A 24183-nucleotide genomic window follows, 5' to 3' on the forward strand; every position below is an offset into this window, starting at 1 on the left:
TGTTGAGATAATCTCCATCTCTTTTGACCCCAACCTCAGACTATACACAAAAATTAATACCTGATGAATTAGAGACATAATGAAAAAAGAAAACATAAAACCTTTGAAAACAATATAGAAGAGCTTCATGACCTCAGTGTAGGGAAGGATTGCTCAGGTAAGACACAGAAAGTGCAATCCCTATTCCAAAAGACCATAAATTTGTCTGCATTAAAATGTAAAACCTCTGTTCATCCACAGATGGTAAATATAAAAGACAAACCACAAACGGAAAGAAGAAATTGTCAATACATAGAACGGCTGAATATTTTTCAGATTATATAAAAGTATTCCACAAATCACACAAAAAATAAAAAATAGACAAAAATAGAAATAAACAAAATAGATGAAAACATTTCACTGACAAAAATCCCAAATGGCTTACAAATGACAAGATGCTTAACTCCATTAATAATTAGGTAAATGCAGTTTTAAAAGACAATGGCATCCCATTTCACAGTCATTTCATACTTAGCTGTATCAAATGTCAGCAAGAAAGTGAACAACTGGAACATTATACACTAGTGGGAAAGTCAGTTGGAGCAATCACTTTGGAAAGCTATTTGCCATTATCTAATAAAGCTGTAGATATGCAGATCCTTAGGAGTAGCAAGTCTACTCTCCCACATTAGTCTGAAAGAGACTTTTGCATTCAGGCATCAGGAGCCACACACAAGAATGTTCATGGTTGCACCATTTGTAAAAACAAAAACCCAAAACCAACCCAGTGTTCGACAGTAGAATGGACAAATAAATCATGGTATATGGTAACACTAGGGAAATGGAATAAATTACAGCTATGTGCTGAAATGTAGAATAACCTCAGAAACATCATATTGAGGAGGGAAAACAAAAGTCATTAAAGAATTATAAAGTGGAATTATTCTGCGTGTGAAGTATGCAATAGTAGTGTATTGTTTAAGGATGCAAATTTAGTCATAAAGAAAAGCAGGAAAACAGCAAACACAAAATTCCTAATAGTTGTTACTCCCGGGGGGAAGGAAATAGAAGGGATCAGGAAGAGGAGCTCAGGTTGCTACAAAATTTGTTTTTTCTTAAAAAAGATGATAATTATACAAAACCATTGTCATTCTTTCTTTTTTTCCCCCCCAAGATGGAGTCTTGCTCTGTCTCCCAGGCTAGAGTGCAGTGGCACAACCTCAGCTCACTGCAACCTCTGCCTCTCGGGTTCAAGCAATTCTCTTGCCTCAGCTTCCCAAGTAGCTGGGATTACAGGCACCTGCCACCACACCCGGCTAATTTTTTTCCATTTAGTAGAGACGGGGTTATCACCATGTTGGCCAGGCTGGTCTCGAACTCCTGACCTCAGGTGATCCACCCGCCTTGGCCTCCCAAAGTGCTGGGATTCCAGGCGTGAGCTACCGTGCCGGCCAGCATTATCATTCTTTATACCATATTTATAATTTTATATTATTTTGTGTCTATTCATAAAATTTAATAATTCAGATCAAAATTCAAAACATTTTAAATTAGAAAACACTAAAATCAGAAGCCCTGGCAACCACTGGCCAGGTTAGATAGAAGAGCAGCTGTCCCCGTAGACAGCATCTCCATCGCCTCATTCACATTTAGGCCAGTGCCACATACCATGTTACTGTTCTGGGAATGTCATTTTACTTACAGCTTTCTCATGGGTTACTCACTGTCATCACCTATTTAGTCTTGGTGGGGGCACCTGAGTTTATGACCCTTGGACTAGAGCCGTGCTTCTCAAAGTGTGGCCCGCCGAAACAAGCAGCATCAGCATCACCTGGGAACTTGTTACAAATGTGGATGTGTGGGCACCCCTCTAGACTTACTGAATCAGTAACTCTAGGGGTGGACCCAGCACTGTTTTCACAAGCCCACCAGGTGATTCTGATGCTCACATTTGAGAACCATTCTTCTTGAAGATATGGCACAGCCTGGCCCGGCCCAGCTCCGGCCCCCACCCTTCCTGGCCACTCCTCCTTTCTGCATCTCTTCAGTGAGGCTCTTCTTTCTCCTCTGAGAGGGTTGCAGTTTCTCCTAATGGAAGTAGTGTTCATTTCCAAGAGTCAGCAGGACCCTTAACTGCCACTCCCATCAGGAGGAAACCTTCCATTTTTCCTTACTACATGCCATCTAAACAATTGTGTTGTGGTCATTAATTTATGGGCAGAGGTTGACGGACATCACTTCAGGAGTGATGCTCTCTGCAGTTTCCACAGGGTTTTGGTAGGAGTGTACTAGTCCATTTTATTACTGCTATAAAGAACTGCCCGAGGCTGGGTAATTTATAAAGGAAAGATGTTTAATTGATTCACAGTTCCCCATGGCTGGGGAGGCCTCAGGAAACTTACAATCATGGTGGAAGGTTAAGGGGAAGCAAGGAACCTTCTTCACAAGGTGGCAGGAAGGAGAAGTGCCAAGCGAAGGGGGAAAGCCTCTTATAAAACCATCAGATCTCATGAGAACTCACCATCATGAGAACAGCATGGGGGTAACCACCCCCATGATTCAATTACCTCCCACCAAGTCCCTCCCATGACACGTGGGGATTATGGGAACTACAATTCAAGATGAGATTTGGGTGGGACACAGCCAAACCATATCAAGGAGCTTTATCTCAGTGGAAAGACTAGCGTGTGAACAACTTCTGTTAAGTCTGCTTGAACATCAAAGGACATTAAGCTGGGCTGTAAAACAGAAAGCCAGTTACCTTTTTTGTCACTGCTTCCAGGAAATCATCATCTCTATTTTGTTGCAGCCTTTCACAATAGGACACTTTCAGAGTAGTGCCCTTTCTCACCACCCTGGTTCTTTCATGGCTGAGATGTGGGGAAAGGCAGGAGTCATTTCTGAGTCTACCTCTCCGGCCTGGGTCCCTCCTGCTAATCTCAGAGGCCTAGGCAGTGGGCAAGAATAAAGCGAATTCTAATGCCTGTCTGAAATGCCAGTCCTGCATCTGATAAAGCTCTGTAAGCTCCATACTTTTTTTCTATTTCAAGCTTTCTTTTTCACCAAACTATTCTGTTTATATTGAATCATTCACTTTGAACTCTATGTACCAAGTTTGAACACATTCCAAATATCCTAAATTTGATATTGCTGAAGTAGACCGTTTAAATAAGTTATAAGAAATACTGTATAACCATGAAGTATGCATCACCCAGCCATATATACTACTATTACCTCACTATTGTTTACATAGATTGGTTTTAGAAATTTAAGCATTAACTTCTTGAAGAAAGGATTACAGAAAATAGGGGTAAAGATACAATAGATGGAAAGAAATACAGTTATTCTGGAACTAATATGGTATAAACAAATATTAGCTTTGGAGTCCACTAAATTGAATTCAAATCTTGGCTCTGCCATTTTACTAGGAGTATAACCATGAGCAAGTCACTGTACCATAGATTCCTTGTTTGTATAATCAGGACTATAGAAACACCAGATTGATAGGTTTTGGTGAGGATTAAATGAGATAACACATTAGCAGTGTCACCACCTAGTAACAAACCCCCCAATAACACATAGCTGATGTTTAAGGCAAGAAATAAGACCAGCAAAACAGATCAGAACAAATTCTAAATGGAGTTCAGATCTCTTCTAAGGAAATTGTAGAACATATTCTACAAGTTTTGATAAGTAACATATTCAAAACTTATTTCGGGAAGATATATTTTTGTGTGAAGTTCATTGGGAAAAAGGAAAAACTAGAGACAAAACTTGAGACACAGTTACAATAGTCCGGGTTACAGGCAACCCTTTCATAACCCCCTCCTGGTGATTCTCATGCTCACATTTGAGAATGCTTCTAAGAAATTTTAGGAAGAAAAGAGGAGGGAAAGGAAGAAAGATTTGTCCATGGTCATTTAGTGGCCACTCCATGGCTTGATTCTGAAAACGGAGAAGTTCTGAGTTAAAAGACGTGTTAACTGAGGGAAGAAGGAAGAAAGAGAAAAGATGACAGGAGGACTCTCACCTTGGCAAGGGGGATGATGGCAGTGACACTGGTAAGAGGTGAGCAGGAAGTATAGTAAAAGCACAAACTCATCCTACAAGGAGAAAGGTATCGACATTAGTGGAAACAGAAGCAGTTAGAAAACTTAGGATAAACTGTGTGCATCAATCAGACTGTATAGGAGAGAAAACACAGAGAATGGCAAAAAAAACCATCTTCATATCTCAAAAGTGAGAGGGAGTCAAGAGCACAGGGGCAGCTCCAGTTAGTTGGATTAAGGTTCTAGACCAGGCCGTACTGCACAGACATCACTTTCTGTTGTCCTGCTACTGAGTCCCTCTCCCTGTTGCACTGACATTATCAAACCAAATGCAAATGAGATGAACCACAATAATGGGCAGAACTGCACCTGGTTCAGCACAACCTGGTGAAGGTCTTAAGAGGAGGGGAGGTGGGGAGTGGAGGATTTTTGCCACACCCAAAGGGGTGAGACCACAGAAGAAAAAATTATTTACATAGAAACTCAGGCCAATCCTTTCGTAAGTACTCCAGGACTATTGCTTCTCTTGATGATTTTAGTTGAGTCATTGTAGGGGGGGACAATTCAAGGGAGAAGGCTGCTGCCTGGAAGCAATCCTCAGGAACCTAGACCTGAAAAATGTGGATGAGCTCTCTCTTGGCATTTGTGCAATGTGGCTGGGGGTTGCTCCGTAGTGGATCTTACTGGTCAGCTTGCTCTGTTTGCCACTTACTGAGGCCCAAGAGGCTTTACCCTACTCAGAGGCAGTGGCAAAAACAGAACAAAGAATCAATAGTGGGCAAGGAGAATGAGGTTCCTTTTTAACATGTTTAAGGTGTCTGAAAGTTAGAAGCACTGAAATTAAATTCAGGAAATTGGTCTGGATCAGAGTGTTTTGAGAACCATTGCTGAGGTCTCCGTTCCTACGTTAGGATACTTTCTTTGTAACAGAGAGGAGGATCTTCATACATTCCTATCTGGTAATAGTATTAAAATCAATTGGGTATGATGGTTCACGCTTGTAATCCCAGCACTTTGAAAGGCCAAAGAGAGAAGATCACTTGAGCCCAGGAATTTGAGACCAGCCTGGGCAAACATAGCAAGACGCTATCTCTACAAAAAATTTAAAAATTAGCTGCCCGTGGTGGCACATACCCAGCTACTCAGGAGGCTGAGGCCAGAGGATCACTTAAGCACAGGAATTTGAAATGGCAGTGAGCTATAATTGTGCCACTGCACTCCAGCCTGAGCAACAGGGTGAGACCCTGTTTCTAAGAAAAAGAAAAATAAAATTAGAATATTTAGGGGATGGTTGAGTTTCAGTTAATGTTTTTCTCATTATATGAATTAGGCAAAAAGCTTCCTCCTAAGGAGTATTATCCTGTTTTGCCATCATAATTAGCATAGAATGTGGCTGATTCTCTTGATTTATTTTTTATCTTACATACCATAAAATTCACTCATCTGCAAGTTTTCACAAATACATAGAGACCTGTAACCACCACTGCAATCAAGTTCCGTCACACAAAACATGTTTTCCTTATGCTGTCCCTTTGCAGTCAGACCACCTCCCCTCCCAGCCCCTGGCAACCACTGACCCTCTCTGCAGTGCAGAAATGACAGCTGCATTGAAGGTTAAGGCCTGAGGCTTTCTTATGATTGGTTGGTATTGTAACAATAGTAACAGCAGTAATAGTAATATATAATACATATTTGCATTTCTATTGTGTCAGGCACTATTTGAAGCACTTTATAGATGAGGAAACTGAGGCTTTAAGAGATTTTAGAAAGGAAAGAGGAGGTAAAGAAAGACTTACCCATGGTCATTTAGTGGCCACCCCATGGCTTCACTCCAAGCATGTCAGACTCCTAGACCCATTTTTTTAACCTCTATCTGATTCTGCCTCCATGGAAGATACAGAAGCAGGACAAAGTAGAAAGGATACCTACCAATTCCAGGAAGCTCGGTTTAGATCCGGGATTGACTTACTTTTACAAAAAAAAAAAAAAAAAAAAAAAAAAAGCTTATATGAGTTTGATTAATTATACCAATAAAACAACACTTGGATATAAGATCAAGTGAAACCAGGATCCTAGAACACTTTCCTTACAGCCTTTGTAAAATGCAATGAAGATAAAGCCTAGACTTATTATGCTCCCTGTCATAAACTTGACCAGGTTGTAAAGCAAAACTTTAAAAAATTCTCTGATCAAATACTGGAATGCTTTGTTAATGTCCTTGAGCATGAACTTCCTTTTGTATTTATTAAAAAGAAAAAGGGATCTTTATTGACGATCTTGGGTGTTTTTCAGGTTGGAGTCCCCAACCCGGTCTCTAGTGATGGAGGCCCCAAAAGGAGTGGAAATCAATGCAGAAGCTGGCAATATGGAAGCCACCTGCAGGACAGAGCTGAGACTGGAATCCAAAGATGGAGAGGTGAGGGATGAGAAGGACAGAAGTTCAAAGAGCTACAGCTTCAACAGGCCAACCCTTCCCATAACTGGTTGACCTCGGAGTTGGATCCTACAGTGTATCAACAAAAGGAGCCAAGCAGGTTTTATTTCTGAAACAATTAATTGAGCAGCATGATTATAAGCCAAACCCACAATCCATCAAAGTGATGATTTCTTATTTGTAAAATGCAGAGATAATGGCATGTATTCCAAGTACAGAATTATATGACCATGAAAATGAATGCTATTTTCAAATTCTCTCTTGTCACCTTAAAATAAGATTTTGTTAGCCAACATAATTAAGCTGTATATATTATACACATCTGGCTCAAGATGAACTTAATTTACTTGTCATTACTTTGTGTCACATGTTTCTGTTTTCACTGAAAATGGGGAGGCAGATTGAACAGCTGTCCCAACCAGAACAAGCCAAAACTTTATAGGGTAAGACTAGGCAGCAAGGGAATGAAACACTGCAGATATTCATTCTCTTATGCCAACACAGTCCCAGCTGGGTGAACAGAAATGCTGCTTGTGTTTTTGCTAGCAAGACAAGCCAATTACTACCCACACCCAAAATGTGATTTGTCTGTAAACTTTTAAAAATGCCTTCAAAGTGCTCATAAGTGAACTTTGCTATTTAATCATAGAGTTAAAAAATCTGTGTGTTTTTTTTTTTTTAAGAAAAATGCTATTCCACCTGACTATTCAATGAGAGAGGTTATCAGTCTCTACCTGCTTCTATACATCCACTCGATGGATATAAAAGTCCCCCTTTTGATTGGTATGGCATTTCCTATTTTGTTTTAGAAGAGATAGTCAGAACATTCAGTTATCACAACTGCCTCTTCAAGCAGCTACAAACTGCAAACCACACACATATAAAAATAGTGGCTACCTCACATATGCAGTTTATAGCTATCAGAATTTGAACTCTGGAGGAATCAGTTATAATCGTAAATCTAATGGCAGCTTCCACAACTGCTTATTTTTATAGGCATATTTTTATAGGCATGTTTTTCTCAAAGTATATTCTATAGACCATCAGCCCCATAAATTGTTAGAAAAAAAAAAAGCAGAAAGGCTCACTAGCATTTAAAAGTTGGAAAATGTTACATACTCTATTCTCTTCTTGAACACTCACCTTGCACACAGTCATAGTAGGATCTGGGAAGTCCCATAGTAAAGAAAATTGTTAAATGTCACATTTTCACATTTATTTGACTCTAGGACTCTATTTACATTCTGTATGACATTTTTTTGCAAAATGCTAACATAGATCAATGCAGCATTATCTTGCTAGAATCTAAGCTTCTGTGAAGGTAGAGACTTTCCATCTTGTTGGTATCCAAATCCCCAGTACCAAAAATAATCAACACATAGTAGGTGCTCATTAGATTTCAGTTGAATTGAACATTCACTTGCTGTTTCTGAATGTCAAGAGAAGAGACGACAGCCTCTGACCAATGCTTTCCTTCCTATTCTCTGTCTTTAGATTAAGTTAGATGCTGCGAAAATCAGGCTACCTAGACTGCCTCATGGATCCTACACGCCTACAGGAACGAGGCAGAAGGTCTTCGAGATCTGCGTCTGCGCCAATGGGAGATTATTCCTGTCTCAGGCAGGAGCTGGGTCCACTTGTCAGATAAACACAAGTGTCTGCCTCTGAAAGACTATCCATAGTGGACATTGTTGGCAGCATAAAGGCCTTTTTTGGCTTTAGACACTGGCTGCCAGCTATTTTTACTAGAACACAGAAAGCCTATCAAAGACCTTGTGTGTATGTGTACGTGTGTGTGCGTGCTTGAGTGTGTTCGCGTGTGTGGGTGGATATAAATATATATAAATATATATAAATAAATATATATATCCTCTGTATAAAATGAGGTTTCAGTACAAAAGGAACCATGGGTGACCCTGCGATATCCACTGTCATTTTCCATCCCATCCCCACCACCTGAGTGACAGAAATCTAAACACACATCCGTCCCAACATTCCCCAGACCATTCAGAATCACACAGCGTATTAAACACTGACAGAATCTTCATCTAGATATTCGAGTAGCAGCATATCTTCTCTTTTAGTGTCATTACGAGGGAGTGATGGCGGGAATCTCAGTCGCACTCAAGCTCTGAGACCTTTGTATCAAAAATAGGCATTTGATTTCCTGTTTTAGCTTTAGTAAGGCTGGCTAACTTCCCCCTCTTCAAGCTAGGAACTGGCAATGCTGTAGAAGTCAGCCGTAGGAATTCAAAATGGCTGGCCTACCTTGGCTACCAGACATATTGGGGTTTTTGTAGTTGAATGAATGAGGAGGATGAATTTCAGCAAATTTTGAACTGCTCACCCAACTTCTGCTATCTTGCTCCCTCCAAACTCACAGATTCTCCTACAGTCAAATTAGGAGCTGTAAATCAGCACAAAATAAGATAACAGCTGTTCCTCAGTGAGCTGGAAGCTACTTAATGGCCTGATGGGCAATGAACAAACGGGTGATATGTCTCTGTTTAAGGGAAAAATGGCTTAAAAGCTGTTCTGTTCTCACTTCTGACTTTAACCAAAAGATTTCAACCCACAATGATCAGGTCAATCAAAATCCCTAAGAGCAGAACTCCTACCCCAAAAGAAGCCTGGAAGTCTAATTAAGAGTAGCATAAGGAACCTAATTATGTTTACCATGTTTCTTGGGATTGGTGGGAAATGTCAAAACATGCCCTTTATTTTTAAAGGCATTCACAAACTCTCTGACTTTGTTCTTCTTATATATTTTTTCAGTGCCGGGATATTCATATTCCTAAAGCCACTATTGTGTTTTCTCTAAGAAGCACTACATGCCACCAGAATTGTGCACTGAAAGATAATACAAACTGAGTGTCTTTATGAGAATCACTGTGTCCCCTGAGGCCCAGCAGTACCTGCTTCCCTGTATGTGGAAGCAGCACCTCATTCCCGCCATCAGCTACCTCTCATCACCCCACCTTCATCATCATGCTCCAGGGTCACCCTGGCCAGCTCTTGTGCTGGGACAGGGGATTACACCATCTCTGTTCAAAGAGGGGGAAATGTGCCTATGCCTTAAGTCAATGCACTCAGCAAGGAGAAGCACATCTTATTTATCTTGTTACCTATAGTTTACTTTGGGTGATTGGAGGGGAATGACTTAGTTATGACTGGACATCTTAAAAGCTGATAGACAAGCCAAATGGCTGGCAGATGATGTGGATTTCAAAGAGCCCAGAATGAACTCATCACTGGCTTAGACAGTCCTGGATGCCATTTGGAAAGTAGTGGCCCTGCAAGCCTAAATGAAGTAGTATTTGTAGGCCTGGGTGGCATTTGGATTTTTCTTTTCCCTCAACAAGGTTTTACTTTTTCTTACTTTACAAGCAAGGGAAGTTTTGTGATAGGAGAGAAATAAAAGATTTGATATTTTTTGAGATGACACTCAAGCATCAGGCTGAGATTTGCACACATGGGATGTAAAAGCAAGCTGTGTGTTGCTTAGTCACTTACTTAGAAGTAGATGGTGGGGGACAGCGGCGTGGGTCCTAGCCTGGCCAGTGATGCTGCTGGCGTCCAGACCCCAGACTCACTCCAAGCACTCTTGTTCAATATCTCATGCAGAAGAGTTGGGCTGGTCACTCTTAGGGGTGAGACCCCGTGATTGGTTGGTTTGTAGCACTAAGGTCTAAAAAGGAAAACCATAAAAGACATCAGATTACGCTGGATCAGTATAATTAATATTCCATAGGGCCATGTTGCCAGAATCTGTATGTATCAATACAGGGTTTTTCCAAGCCAGGAAACGCCCTCCTTGGCTACTAGGAGCACCTATCCCATATCATTCAGATAAACAATGATAGCTACAAAGTCATTTGTGGCTAGATAGGTTAAGACAGGTGATTTTTTAAAGTAGACTGTCTTTGCATTTTGCCATCTGAAGTTCATTAATCTTTAGATGACAAAAAAGCAAAAAGTTCCCAGAACGTTTTTGCTTAGATTTTGTTCTAATCACCACGTGAAGGAATGAGATTAGCACCACAAGTTTCATGCCAATAAAAGAGACTGGTGTGATCCCACATGCAAAATTTAATCCTAAGGGTAGTGAGATCACAAACAGAATAAAAATAAGAGCAATCAACCATATAAATCAAGTACCTATTGGGAACAGACATAACATTCAATTTTTCATTTATGCTAAGTGACCACAGTATACAAAGTAATAAGCAGGAAATTTGATATGGGTTAAATTATGCATTTTGTTCAGATTTTGGAAATTGGTATGCATTATAAGTTTCTCAATGTACATCTTTTTATCCCAACACCCTCAAACTAGAATATTTGTCAGTGGTCAAGAGAAAAAATTTTACCTGAATTCTTGGGGGCCGGCGGGGAGCTTTTACATTAAAAATCTACTAACGCCTACTTTTTAAAAAATGAGATTCTTTCTAATCTTTATATATGACATTTTCTAGACAATCGCACCTTTGGGTATATTAAACAGCTGGTATCATAACAAAGAATCCAAATGAACCTTCAATATACTAGAAGTTCTAGTAGGTTAATATTGTTCAGAAGATTTTTACAAATTAAAAACTGATTTCCAAATATGTTCAACATTTACTTCTATTTGATATCTGCTCAAGAAGTCATAGAAGTCTTGGGAAACTATTCGAGTATCACAGAGGTTTTCAAAAGCCCTTATGGTGACATCTACCTAGGTAAAAGCCTGACATGTGGCTTTATAATTGTTATGTTACCCAAGGGATAAACTTGAACTGGCTTTGAACATCCTTTAGGTCATTTTCTCTTTGGATAATTTTCATCGCATATCCAGCAACTATAGACCAAAGTTTGCTTAAGGTTTGACCCTAGAGCAGAGGTGGGCAAACTATGACCTGGAAACCAAATCTGACTTACCACCTTTTCCTGTAGTTAAAGTTTTATTGTCACATAGCCACATACATTCATTTACATGTTTTCTGATTTTACACTACAGCAGCAGGATGGAGTAGTTGTGTCAGAGACTATGTATCCCACAAAGCATAGATTACTTACTATTTAGTCCTTTACAGGCAAAGTTTCCTCACCCCTGACCTAGAGGTTTTTGTGGTATGCATTGGATATAGCAGGAAAGAAAGCACATTTCCAAACAGCAGGGAGTAAGCTTACATTTCTGTGTAGGTTTGGGAATATAGTTACTTGGCAAAGTCTTTCAGGAAGGAAGCCCTTCCTTATGTTACATGTGGAAAGCCTGCCTTCCAAGACATGTGGAAGTAATTGATCCACCTGCCAGAGAAACACAGGCTCAGAGGATGCCTGGGAACAGGGAGGATGGGATTAGTGGAAGCTTAATGGAAAAGGAAAGTTATGATCCTCCAAGACCCTTAATTGATAGACCATACCAGGTTCTGCAGGTCAGCATCATTGTGTAATGAGAGTGAAGTAGGGGACCCTGTGGTTCAACCTTAGAATCTGTTTCCTGTAGGCTCTTTCTGCTGTCTATATTCATTAAAGTTTTCCACTTCACCCTCCCATAGTCTAGAGGGATGCCCATTCCATGGTCCTCCAGAGAATAGTTTTGACTTAACATGTCTGTTTAGCCCACATCACGTCAGTTATCAACACCGCCACTGTGCTTACTGTTCCTACAGCCACACCAGGCTTGAAGAGTTAGTGAGACCAACAAATAATTGGAAGTATTGGAAAAAGCAAAATACATGGGGACAAAAAAAATACAGTGAAATTCTTTTTATCAAACTGATGCTGTGAGAAACCAGATGAATGCCAGTTTGGCTTTATTTCTAAGAATCTGGGTCTTCATTCTCTGGTGTAGAAGGAATGCAAAAAACTATAACAACAACAACAAAAACATATTTTGAAAAGACATATTCTGACATCTCTGCTTGTGTGTGGTAAGGCAGGTTCCTATCAGACATTTATCCCTTTGGTCAAGATCCCTTTTGCTCATCCAGGGTTTCATACTCAATATCGCTTAAAAAAAAAAAAGTATCAGCTAGGGATGACTCTGGAAGTATGAGTATCATGGTGGGGAGGAAGGAATTTTTTTTAAATGTAAATGACCCCCATTTACCAGACCCTAATCAAAGTCACTTAAGGGAATCCCTCAGCCTTTTATTTGGAAACAGTTGAAATAAACTGGCAGCAGCTAGATCAGAGTATCTTGCTTTATTTTATAAAGGCCAAAGGTAGTATGAAGTTTGGACCAAAAAGGTAAATAGATCCATTCCAGCACCTGATACTGATTTTTCAAGGCTCTATGAAAGGTCAAAAATTTCATTAAACAAGACCAGTTCTCCCTCTTCCCCCTGTCCCAAGAAATCTTAGGCATGAAAAGGATAAGGAAACAGCTCCTGGAATGATACATTTGCATAGTGCCCTAGTAGCAGGTTGGGAAAAAGTTATAATATAAGAAACAACCTTCGAAAACAGGCCTTTTATCTCAAAGATAAAATGTCTTTCTTGTGGTCTTTCATCACTATCTCCGTGGTGGAAGGTTCCCCTAGTTCCAACATATTTCCATTAAAATAGTCAAAGCCACGGCATTGGGATGTCAGATGCCTCTCTTTCTTTGTGGTAATCGGAATTTAAAATTATACAGTTGCCTCTGAATTTCTCATGCACAAAGCCAAACCACTGATAAGAGATAAAGCAGTCTGAAGCCTGCTGCTTCAGCCAGCACAGCACACCACACACGCTCGCACTTTCAAAAGCAATGTGATTTCTATGGTTCTTAAAAGCTTTCTTCATAAGGGAGTCCCTGAAATTTCTCAAGGCAGGTTTGAATGGCAAAGGGAAAATAATTACTTGTGGGAGGTCCTCCTTTTGAGTATTGTTAGAGCATACATGTAAAAGAAAATAACCTTTTTGGGGCAACTCATGCTCACACATGCTGTTTTCTTTGGTTCTCCCCCTACCTTCCTTTTGTAGATATTGACAGAATAGGAGGAAATGAGCATCCTTATTTGAGAAAGAGCAAGAATGTCATGAGCCCTTGATGCAATAGTAAGTGTGATGTCATCATACAGTGTTAATGATGCTATCAAATCCATCAATAAACAGTCTCAAACCTTCCAACAACAGTGCTCACTGCTGCTCCTCAACTTCAGCCCAGCAAGCAGTAATATCATCACCCATTTTGAGATATGCAGGTGGAATAGAACAAAGAAACAGCCACTGTAATCGAGAAGCATGTTTACTGTCTAAATCCACCTGTTGCAGTAGGAAGCCAGAGTGGGGTTCCAAATGCCTCATTAAGTATGTGGACAGCCTCACTAGTAAGTGAGTGAATTTGGCTTCATCACTGAACATTAGCTAAGGTCAGCTTAATAACACAAATATGAGGCCGACTTCTTTGCGAGAAGAGAAAAGAAAACATCTGCTTGATTTAAAATCCACCCCACATGCCTAGAGTTGTCTAATAGTCCCTCACTTTCCAATGGCTTCACATCCTACTTCTACATTTGGGGTTTTTTGGTGAAATCAGAGATAGCTCAGGATTTCATAAAACGAGAAACTCCAAACTGGTCTATTAGGTTCCATGGGAACACTTGTAGCCAAAGGATTGTCTGAGGGCAGGAAGACGACACTTGTCAACAAGGAAGACAGTGTTTCTTTAGTTCCCATATTCATCTAATTCATGGGGTTCTAACATTTTGGGGGGCCATAGATTCTTTTGACAATCTGAGCCAATCTATGAAACTTCTCCCCAAAAAGAACCACCCCACAAAATCTTGCAAAACGTAAGAGATTTTCCTGGATCTGAAGCTACCCGAAGACATGGGAAGAGTTGTATTCTATTATTCAATTTTAAGAATATTTATTAATATTCACTGAGCTATTGCTAGCCACTGTGCTAAACATTTTACATACATTCTCCTATTTCATCCTCAAAACAATCCTTTGAGTTGGGTTTTAATATAGTTCCAATATTCGGATGTGAAAACTGAGGCTTATAGTGGCTAAGAAACTTGCCCAAAGCCACTACCTAGAAAATGGCAGAGCTGGAATGTAGGTTTAACTCCTGACCACTATGCTATAAAGTCACCACATGTCAAACTAATTTTCAAGTTGTTGGGACATGTCCCCTACTAGGTTTTAAACTAGATCTTCCTTGGTAGATGAAGCTATAGAACTTCTATTTTCCCTGCTTTCTGTAGTCTCTCACAGTGACAGCATCTATACTAAAGTATAGATACCTAAGGGGAAAATATAGAAAGCCTGCCTGAATAATAGAATCTAGAACAACAACAAAAATATTAATTTTTTCTGTGTATGCTTAGGTCAAGCTTAAAAAAAAAAAAAAAAGACCGGAAAATACCTGGGTTGTTAGCCTCACATTTAGGAAAAAATTGTAATACTCAGTTATCTGTGTGTGTGGCTAAACAAGTCAGCATTTCTGCACACATACATCTCTTTCCTTTATACTTCCCTTCAAAAGACAAATATCTTACTTTTGATCTTTGACACTATTTGGTCAGTATTCTTCTTTACCTTTACTTGTGGCAAAACTCAAGGAAGCGATCAAATAGAGGGAAGCTCATTTCTATCATTGTCTCTGTTTCCCTATAAGAAAGAACTACCAGGGACTCACTGACTGCATTAGGCATACAATGTCAGAGCTGAGCTGACCACTCTGGTCCTGTAATGTCTTTGGCCTCACACCTTGGCAGCCATCATTAATGGGCCATACCCTTCCCCAGGTGCAGAATTCTCCTCCCCAGAGCACTCAGGCCGTTACTACCAATTTATCTGAGTTGGAAATAAGACTCATTTGCCAGTTCTTATTTTTAAAGTGGCACCCTTTAACTTTGAACCTGTGTATTTTACACTGGCATCCTAGATTCAGCAATGAGGTTTGGTGGTGTTTCAACTAGGAAGGGAGAAAATGAGTGCATCTGAAGTTCCTTACAGCTTGGTTTCTTTGGAATGCTTTCATCTTCTAAGCAAAGGGATCAGGGTTTGATCTGTAAGAGTTAAAAAGACAAAGTCATTTTGAAGAATTAACTCAGCCAGGGATCATGCAAAAAGATTAGAAACCATAATGCCCTTGTTAAAGCCCTGCTGTCAACCTGCCTTCACCCAGAGCTTAGAGGGCCACAGCAGCAAAGAGGTTGGGGTCCATCCCTCTCTGATGTGCTTTTTCCACAACACATATCTGGTCCTCTGGCAGGATTGTGGATAGAGCTCCTCACCATACCCAAAAGACTCAGCCCCAGTGCCAGTGCTTTCCTGGTTCAACAACCCACCACAAAACCTTAGTAAAAGGATGAGCCAAAAATGAAAAAGACTCGACTCTACAGTAAGTCAGTCAGGGATTTCCTTTTTAATGGTTTAAGACATCCAAATGGCAAGCCAGGAATAGATACCATTAAAGGGTCTCATAGGACTAACCTTACCAGAGCCAGAAATCTAGCTCTCTGGAAGAGATGCAAGATTCTAGAAAAGTAAAGGGAAGTGTCGGCACATCTAAATTTAGTGAACACAAAATTAATTTTTATCTAGTCTGTGACGGAGGGAATAAAGTTTTTCATGTATCAACCACCTCCCCCAGTCAGGTTTCTCCCTTTTTGAGATTATGAAGAAGCTGAGACATACTTCTTAAGGAGGTCGTGTTTTAGAAGGAAAAGGCAGAGGCTATCCATCATTATGCTGGCTAGATGCGCTTCTGAAGAAGCCGGATTCTGATGTTCTTAACCAAAATGGTGAGGTCATGGAAGTCCCATTTGCTTGGAGATTTTGAAAAAAAAAAAAAAAAAAAACCCATTCCCATAAAGTAATTGAGTTCAGCCTTTGGATTATTTTTGGTTTGGTTTTTCTCTGGTTTTGGGTGTGATGTAAGAAGAGCTTTTTAGTTTTGTTTTGAATAACATCAATCCTTGCACACTCTATGCAAAAATTTTGTAAGCATTTCAATAATGCTATGAATTACAAGGAACTATTTTAACTTTATTACACTTTCTGTATAAAAAATTTGTATTTAATATTATTTCGACCACAGTCTTGTAAAATATATTAATAAAAATAATGATTGGTAAGAAGGAAAGCACCCTTGTCCACTTCTTTAGGGAATTCCTCTCTCACAGCTAATAAATCAGTCACTCCTATTGACTCTACCTCAGGAATAAATTTTCAGATTAACATCTCTTCCATATCCCTTTGATCAGTTGGGTAAGCCATTTTGACTCTCGGGAAGAAATTCACACAGGTTGCCTTATGAAAAGAGAGCTTACTATAAGGTAAAACATGGCCTGGAATTTGGGAGTCCCCAGGATTTGGAGCATGTCAAGGGAACAGCCATCCTCAATTTCTCTTCTAATGACCTACATAGGCTTCTCTGGCCACAGTTTACTACTGCCCTCTCCACTGCTCCCTTCTCTGTCTTTCAAGAAGCAAGCCAGATTGGTTCCTAATAGGTAAAACCTTTACAACCAAGCTGCTTTAGTGCTCCTGGTTAGCCTACAAATAAGCCATCTTTGAGTCAGGTGCTTATCCCTCATGCTCCCTTAGATGGGGCCATGGGTGAGACAATCGATGAGAGAAGGCATTGTGGCAGAACCACTTGGATCCACTCACCACAATTAATTCTTCATTTTGAGCATCTCATCTCTCCTGGTCTTCCACAACGACAGGTCAGTGGACATGCTAGAATCTGCCTAGAATTTATTCCCATCCAGCACCACCCACCCCAGGATATCATCCTTCATGATCTCATCCACATATCATCTTCTCTCTGTGGCCCTCGTCATTCTTCCTTGATTCCCTCATTTGTTCTAATTTCTTATATAACCCTACATTGTACTATGATTTACCCATTTACCTACCTATCTGGGACCCCAGAAATGCTTATATACATTCCTAAAGTTTATATAGAATCAAATATATATCTAAATTGATCTTCACAACATTATAAGGTAGATAGGTAATTTCCTTATCTAGAATATCTAAACAAATTTTACATATCTAACATGTGACAGAACCAATGTCTTTTCCCAATTGGATTTTCATCTAAGGCCACATCTTATTTCTTACATCCTGACTCCAAATATCACTGAAGCAACATTACAGAACTCCTAAGATAAAAGGATTTGATAAAAATATTATTCCCAGGCAGAGCACAATTTATTTCCAAAGATGCAGTAATTTTATTATGTAGCTTCTGTTTGGGAAAAATTTACCAAAAAACAAACAAACAAACAAACAAAAATCGAAATCAAAGGTAATGAAATCACAATTCAAGAGACTTGGTGAGAAAAACCACTGAATCTTAGCTAAAAAGATAAACTCTAATAAGAGACAGAAAGGCTGTTACTGACATGTCAAACTAATTGACATCATTGTTGAAACAAAATTAGAAAGCAGATAAAATACCAGGAAGCTAAAAAAAGCTCTTTGCCTTGTCTTCCAAGGAAGGAAGGTTTAAAAAGTAGCAAATAGGTATAAATCAGCAACTTTTGAGATTTCTTCTGATCATTACCCCTTTAAAAGAGATATAAGATTCTATGGCTCACTTTACCCTACGAAAAGAACCCAGGGTAGGGCAGGGGTCGGAATAGGGATCAGAGTGTAAAGGAATAAGCCAAGTGCATTTCAGAAAAACTTGTGAGCAATGTGTATGCATTAGCATCTCCAGTTAAGTCCAGTGATAGGGTAATTTTAATTTGTGAATGTCAATTGTTAATTATTCTCGATAACACCGAACTCTTGCAGCTGAGGCTCAATATACAGCCCCCAAGAAAGACCCTTATGACCCATCAATGGACAGACGATGGATGAAGCTGTAAGACTCTCTGGCAGAAGTAATTAAACATAAATTTAAAAAACACTTGTGAGATTTTTCCAGACAACTCACACTAGAATCTAAAATGGGTACATAAAATGTGAGAATAGAATCTTCCAAATTATATTTTAATAGGAAGTAAGTATTTGGAACAGCCAAATTTAGGATAATAGATATTAAATCAAGGGTAGAAATTATAAGAGTATATAATTGATTTTAATCTATTAGAAGATGAAGTCAAACATTGCATTTAAAAACATTTGGTGCAAAAAATTAACCTATTAAACAAGTAAAAGGAAAATCAATATTTTAAAGTAGACACTATGGCAAAAAGTATAGGAGAGATTCAGATTAACAAATTTATAATAATAAAATGCCCTGTCTAATTGATTATACATGATTAAACCACTGTGCTGAGCAGGCAAGTAACCAAAAACAAAAATCCAAAATTTTGAAAAATAAACAGAAGGAGCTTGACAAATTTAATTGTAAGGGAAAATTTTTAACTACTCCCCTGTCTTATAACTTACAATATGGCAAAGCAAAAAATTAACTCATAAACACACACACAAACACCTCTCTGCACATGGCAGGAAAGAAAAAAACTTCTTTTTGTCAATAATCATATAAATGAAATAAATATCATCTCAAAATGAAAACGTTAAACTTTTCAGACTATATTCTCTGAAAGTAAAAACAGACAATATATTTTATATTTACATAAAATCCCAAGAATTTAAAAACATTTCCCTAACTGGTGATTTGAGAAAGAAACAAGCCTATTTAAAGAATAACAGTTAAAAATGCTACAAATGATGAAATTTAGCCAAAGCAGTCTTTGACATAGTAAGAGCATTTAAACTTGTCAATAGAGAAATGAATAAATAAAGCATTCAACTAAGATTCCAGAAGAATCAAGAAAAGAACAAAAATCAACAAAACTAAGATGGAATAAGTAATTCTAGATTTTACATCATAAAAAAACTAAAAATCTAAAAAACAAAACTGCTGATAAATCTTTTAAAATATTAAAATAAGCTTAATAACACATAAAATAAAAATGTGTTACACCAACATAATTCCTTGTAAGAAAAATAGAAAACCTTGATGAAATGTACAATTTTGAAAAAATAACCATAATAAAAATTGGTAAAAATTAGTAAAATTAGTAAAAATTAGTGCTTGTTTCATAAGCAAAAGTGAAACAATTTTTGTTTAGGAAATTCTACAAAAATATACCTTTTCTGACATAAATAACATTACATATATATATAATGTACATACCTATATACATTCGTAAATTAACATGTGAAAAAAATTGCCATAATTGATCTGCTGTAACCTAGGCCAGATAAAAATTTTAAAATTTTGAGAGAGATAAATATTAAATACAGAGACCAACTCTCAACTGTATAGGCTAAAATTGATAAAGACTGTCTTGTTTTCCTTTAAGTTAATTTTCACACTTAACAAAATGCCAATACTTTTAAATCTCAACAGAAATTTTCTGAGAAGTAAACAAAATAATTCTAAAATTTACCAGGCAAAATAAAAGAGAAAAAAAAAAGGTAAACATATTGTCTAAGAAAAATCATTAGAATTACAAAAATCTAACAGACTGTCTAAAAATTACAAAATAGCAATAATGAAGATAATAACATTTCCAAATCAGAGACATAGATCAATTGCATTTGATACTATTTTCCTACCTGGAAAATACCCCTCACCTTTCTTTGCCTGGCTTTCCCCTGCTCACTTTCTAAGATTTTGCTGAGATATGTCCCTTCAAGAAGGCTTCTCTGGCCCGGCGCTGTGGCTCACGCCAGTAATCCCAGCACTTTGGGAGGCCGAGGCGGGTGGATCACGAGGTCAGGAGATTGAGACCATCCTGGCTAACACGGTGAAACCCCGTCTGTACTAAAAATACAAAAAATTAGCCGGGCGTCGTGGCGGGCGCCTGTAGTCCCAGCTACTCGGGAGGCTGAGGCAGGAGAATGGCGTGAACCCAGGAGGCGGAGCTTGCAGTGAGCCCAGATCGCGCCACTGCACTCCAGCCTGGGCGACAGAGCGAGACTCTATCTCAAAAAAAAAAAAAGAAGGCTTCTCTGACTTGTTCCGTTAATAGATCAAGTAAAACTTTCCCTGTACTTTGAGGGCACACTGGACAACCATGATAGAGGGCAACCTCTATCACGGTTGACATCGTACTGAAGCAACCTATTCATTCTTCTGTTTAGCCTACTAGAATACGGCTCAAGATCAGATGCACGGCTTCCTCACTATTTTATCACTCAAGCCTAGCAGAGTGCAAGGCGTCTAAACTGAAATCGTTGAATTGAAGAGACCAGAAAACCCAGAAATAGACTCAAGTGAATATAAGAATTCATCATCTATCAATTTATCAGTTCAATCTACCGCTTATTCTTAAACACTCCAAGACAGAGAGCAAGAACAAGATGGTGGTCTCTGTACTCAGCTTACAAACGGGCAATCTCACAAAGAAACAAACAGTTGCAAGTGTGAAATAAGCAGTGATCCAGGAGAACATAGTTCTCCAGGGAAGCTGATAGCTGGAACACCATTACAAACCAAGGGAAGAGGTAGTGATTACTTGATTGTTATTAGGAAAACCGATCCGCAGCGTCCTTGGTGAGGTTGAGGAGGCTTCAGAGTCACCCCTTAAATTAACTCCAGTGGACCAGAGTCAAATGTTTGTTCATCTGGCATCTATTGAATGCCTATTCCCTTATAAATAAATAACACACTCTCTTTACTCTTGAATAAATATCTCAGAGCCTAATGAGGTAAACAAGGACCTAAAATGATCACTTATAACATAGTATGAGCTGTGAATAAAAGACAAAATAATAGGCCATGGAATAACAACCTACTTAGGATCTGTGGAAGAATGACAAGGAAAATCTCAAAAAGGAAAAACTGGCACATTCATGCATATGCAATTCCTTTTCTCTCTTTTTTTGAGACAGAGTCTCGCTCTGTCGCCCAGGCTGGAGAGCAGTGGAAGGATCTTGGCTCAATGCAACCTCCACCTCCCAGGTTCAAGCAATTGTCAAGCCTCAGCCTCTCGAGAGAGTAGCTGAAGCTACAGGCATGTACCACCACACTCAGCTAAACTATTGTATTTTTAGTAGAGATAGAGTTTCATCATGTTGGCCAGGCTGGTCTTGAACTCCTGACTTCAGGTGATTCGCCCGCCTTGACCTCCCAAAATGCTGGGATTACAGGCATGAGCCATGGCACCCAGCCCATATGCAATTCTTAAGTTCTTTCATCACTCGTCCCACTCCCACAAATAAGAGAACCTTAAATAATAATAATCAAGTAAATAGGAGAAATGGTTAGAAATTACGAACTTTGATGAGTTAATGCAAATTAATTCTTATTAACCCATCAAGATATCAATACATATATGAACAAAGGAGATAAGCACATAATGCACACAAGTGAAAATGTACATTGTTTCCATTCTAGAGCACTGGAAGATAGCACAATTAATAACCACTTTTCAAGAAAAACAATATTTTCTTGATTTTAAGATGCAATATGATTTTACGAATGGTAAAAAACCCAACTTCGACTCTACCAAATAAAATGTGGTTAAATCTATCAAATAAATGTGGTGAAACCATGGTCATACCCTTGCAGAAAAAAACAATAGGATTTAAGTGAGCTGTTTTTCCTCAACCTATCAGACTGTTTAAATAGTGACTTTATGGAGGGCAACGTAATAAGGCCGTTTTATACCATATGTTTAGACCTGAAAAGAACCTGTAAGGTAGGCAGCATTTTCCCCGTCTTAGAGAAATCGTGCTCAAAGAAATTAAGAAACTTGCCTAAAGTAATTCTACTAGCAAATGGCAGAGCTTAGTATTAACTTCAAAATAATTCCTCCCATTATTTGAAGTTGTCTACCTTTCCTGTCAAAATGCAGTAAGACAAACATTTGCCCACTGATGCAATGGGCACTGGTATATTCTTTCAGAAAGTAATTGGTCAGTATTTTTAAATAGTCATAAAAATGTTTATACAACTTCACCTAGTAAACCTATTTTCAAAATTCATCCGGGCAACAATATTTAAATAGGAAAATGTTGTTAGTAGTAGCAGTGTGCACTGTAGCAGAATTTAAAGATGGGAAAACTTAGCAATGCTTCCTAATCAGACGAAGGAGAAGGCCAACTAGATTATGGTTATTTTAAATTTATGGAATATCACGCTGCCTTTAAAAAAGATTTGTGAGGATTTAATTTCAGTATGGCAAAATTTGATGTTAAATATGTAAAAGTGATGTGCACACATGAATCAAGACTGCTAGGGAAACTGAAAGATGAAGCAAGTTGATTTGGATGGTGATATTGTAGGTATTTCTTATCATTTTTGTGTTTATAATATTTGTATAATAAAACATTTTCAAAAAAGACTAGTATCTTTTATTTTTCTACAAAATGGAATTAGTGGCACATACTTTGACCCTACAAATAATCCTCATGAAGAAAAATTCATAAACCTAAAATTGTTTAACACAGTATAAAAAAATTGGAATTTTCCTTTTTTTCCCCAACAACAGTAACAATAAGTAAACAAATTATGGTACACCCAATCAATGAAATAAATATTAAAGTAATTTTGGAACTCATGGAAAAATGTCATGTTTAAATAAGTTTAAAATACCTAGAATTACATGAAAGATCATTACATTTATGTTTTAGTCAGTTTGATATCCTGTAATAAAGTACTGAAGAACAGGTAGCTTAAAAGCAACACAAATTTATTTCTCACAGTTCTGGAGACTGGAAGTCACAGATCAGGGTCACGTTCTGGTGAGGGCCCTATCCAGGTAGCAGGCTGACAACTTATTGTATCCTCCCATGGCAGAAAGAGAGCAAATGATTTCTCTGTGGTCCCACTTAAAAGAGCACTAATCCTATTCACGAGGGCCCTACCCACATGACTTAATCATTTCTCAAAGACACCACTTCCTACTACCACCACATTGGGGCTTAGATTTCAACATACAAATTTGGGGGGAACACAAACTTTCAGTACCTTGCAAGCTATGTGAAAAAATATATATATTTAAGGATAAGGATCACTGATCATTTTAAATGATGGCATTAATATGAATCAGGCTGTTTATTTTTGTTTTTCTAAGTAGAGTTAGTTTATTACCATTAATTTTATAAAATGGATGAACAAAAATCATTTTTAACCTTGGCTTTAAAAATTATTTAATTTGTAATTTTCAGTTCTTTTATTCAAGTCTACCAATGAGTCAAATTTGAAAAGACTTCTGAACACAGAGAATACCTGGGGATTTAAGGTTGCTTCTCCTTCTATTCCACAGAAGAATAAAACCTTTGAAAATGTTCTGCTGGCCTCTGTGATGGCTACAAAGCTCTACTACAGATTTGACATCAAAGGACAAGCCACACATCTAAACTAAGTTTGGGCAACAAGGTGGTAGGAGCTTAGCTCCCCTACTGGATTTCAGGCAAGGGCTAGGTGAGAAAGGCCCCAACCCTTCCCCCTTTTAAGAGACATGAAGAGAAACCAAAGAAAATTTAACCACAACTGGAAAGGGATAGCTGCCTATAAATTGTGACTGTAATAACTGATGTAGTCAGGTCTTGGACATCCTTTCTGACCATTGTTACCTTTCATTCACTTTCATTCCTCAAACTCCCATAACTACTCCTCCTGTCTCAACATTCCAGGTTTGTTTTGTTAAACCTTGCAATTATTGCAAGTTAAACCTTGCAATTCTAATTCCAAATGGTTTCATACAGATTAGTACATCTTAAATCCATCCTTTCCATGATTTCTACACTTCATAACCTACGTCCCCTCCAAAATCTAACTGATCTTGCTGCTCTCTATAAGACCCCTTCACAGATAATCTA

General features: G+C 38.5%; 1 protein-coding gene across 9 annotated transcripts in view; it reads left to right on the top strand.

Annotated features, from left to right (window-relative positions):
* SGCD (sarcoglycan delta) overlaps nt 1-16528 on the top strand; it is a 1039957-nt gene extending 1023429 nt beyond the window's left edge. For 7 of the 9 annotated variants that reach the window (XM_047417519.1, XM_047417518.1, XM_017009724.2 and 4 more), the window contains 2 exons: nt 6321-6444; nt 7957-16528. In XM_047417519.1, coding sequence (XP_047273475.1) covers nt 6321-6444; nt 7957-8130 — 298 coding nt within the window. In that variant the 3' untranslated portion in view covers nt 8131-16528. Of the gene's footprint in view, nt 1-6320; nt 6800-7956 lie in introns of those variants that run through there. The other 2 variants (NM_172244.3, XM_005265967.3) reach the window with 2 other exon arrangements.

This window comes from Homo sapiens, chromosome 5, assembly GCF_000001405.40.
Source record: "Homo sapiens chromosome 5, GRCh38.p14 Primary Assembly".
Taxonomy (NCBI): Eukaryota; Metazoa; Chordata; class Mammalia; order Primates; family Hominidae; genus Homo; species Homo sapiens.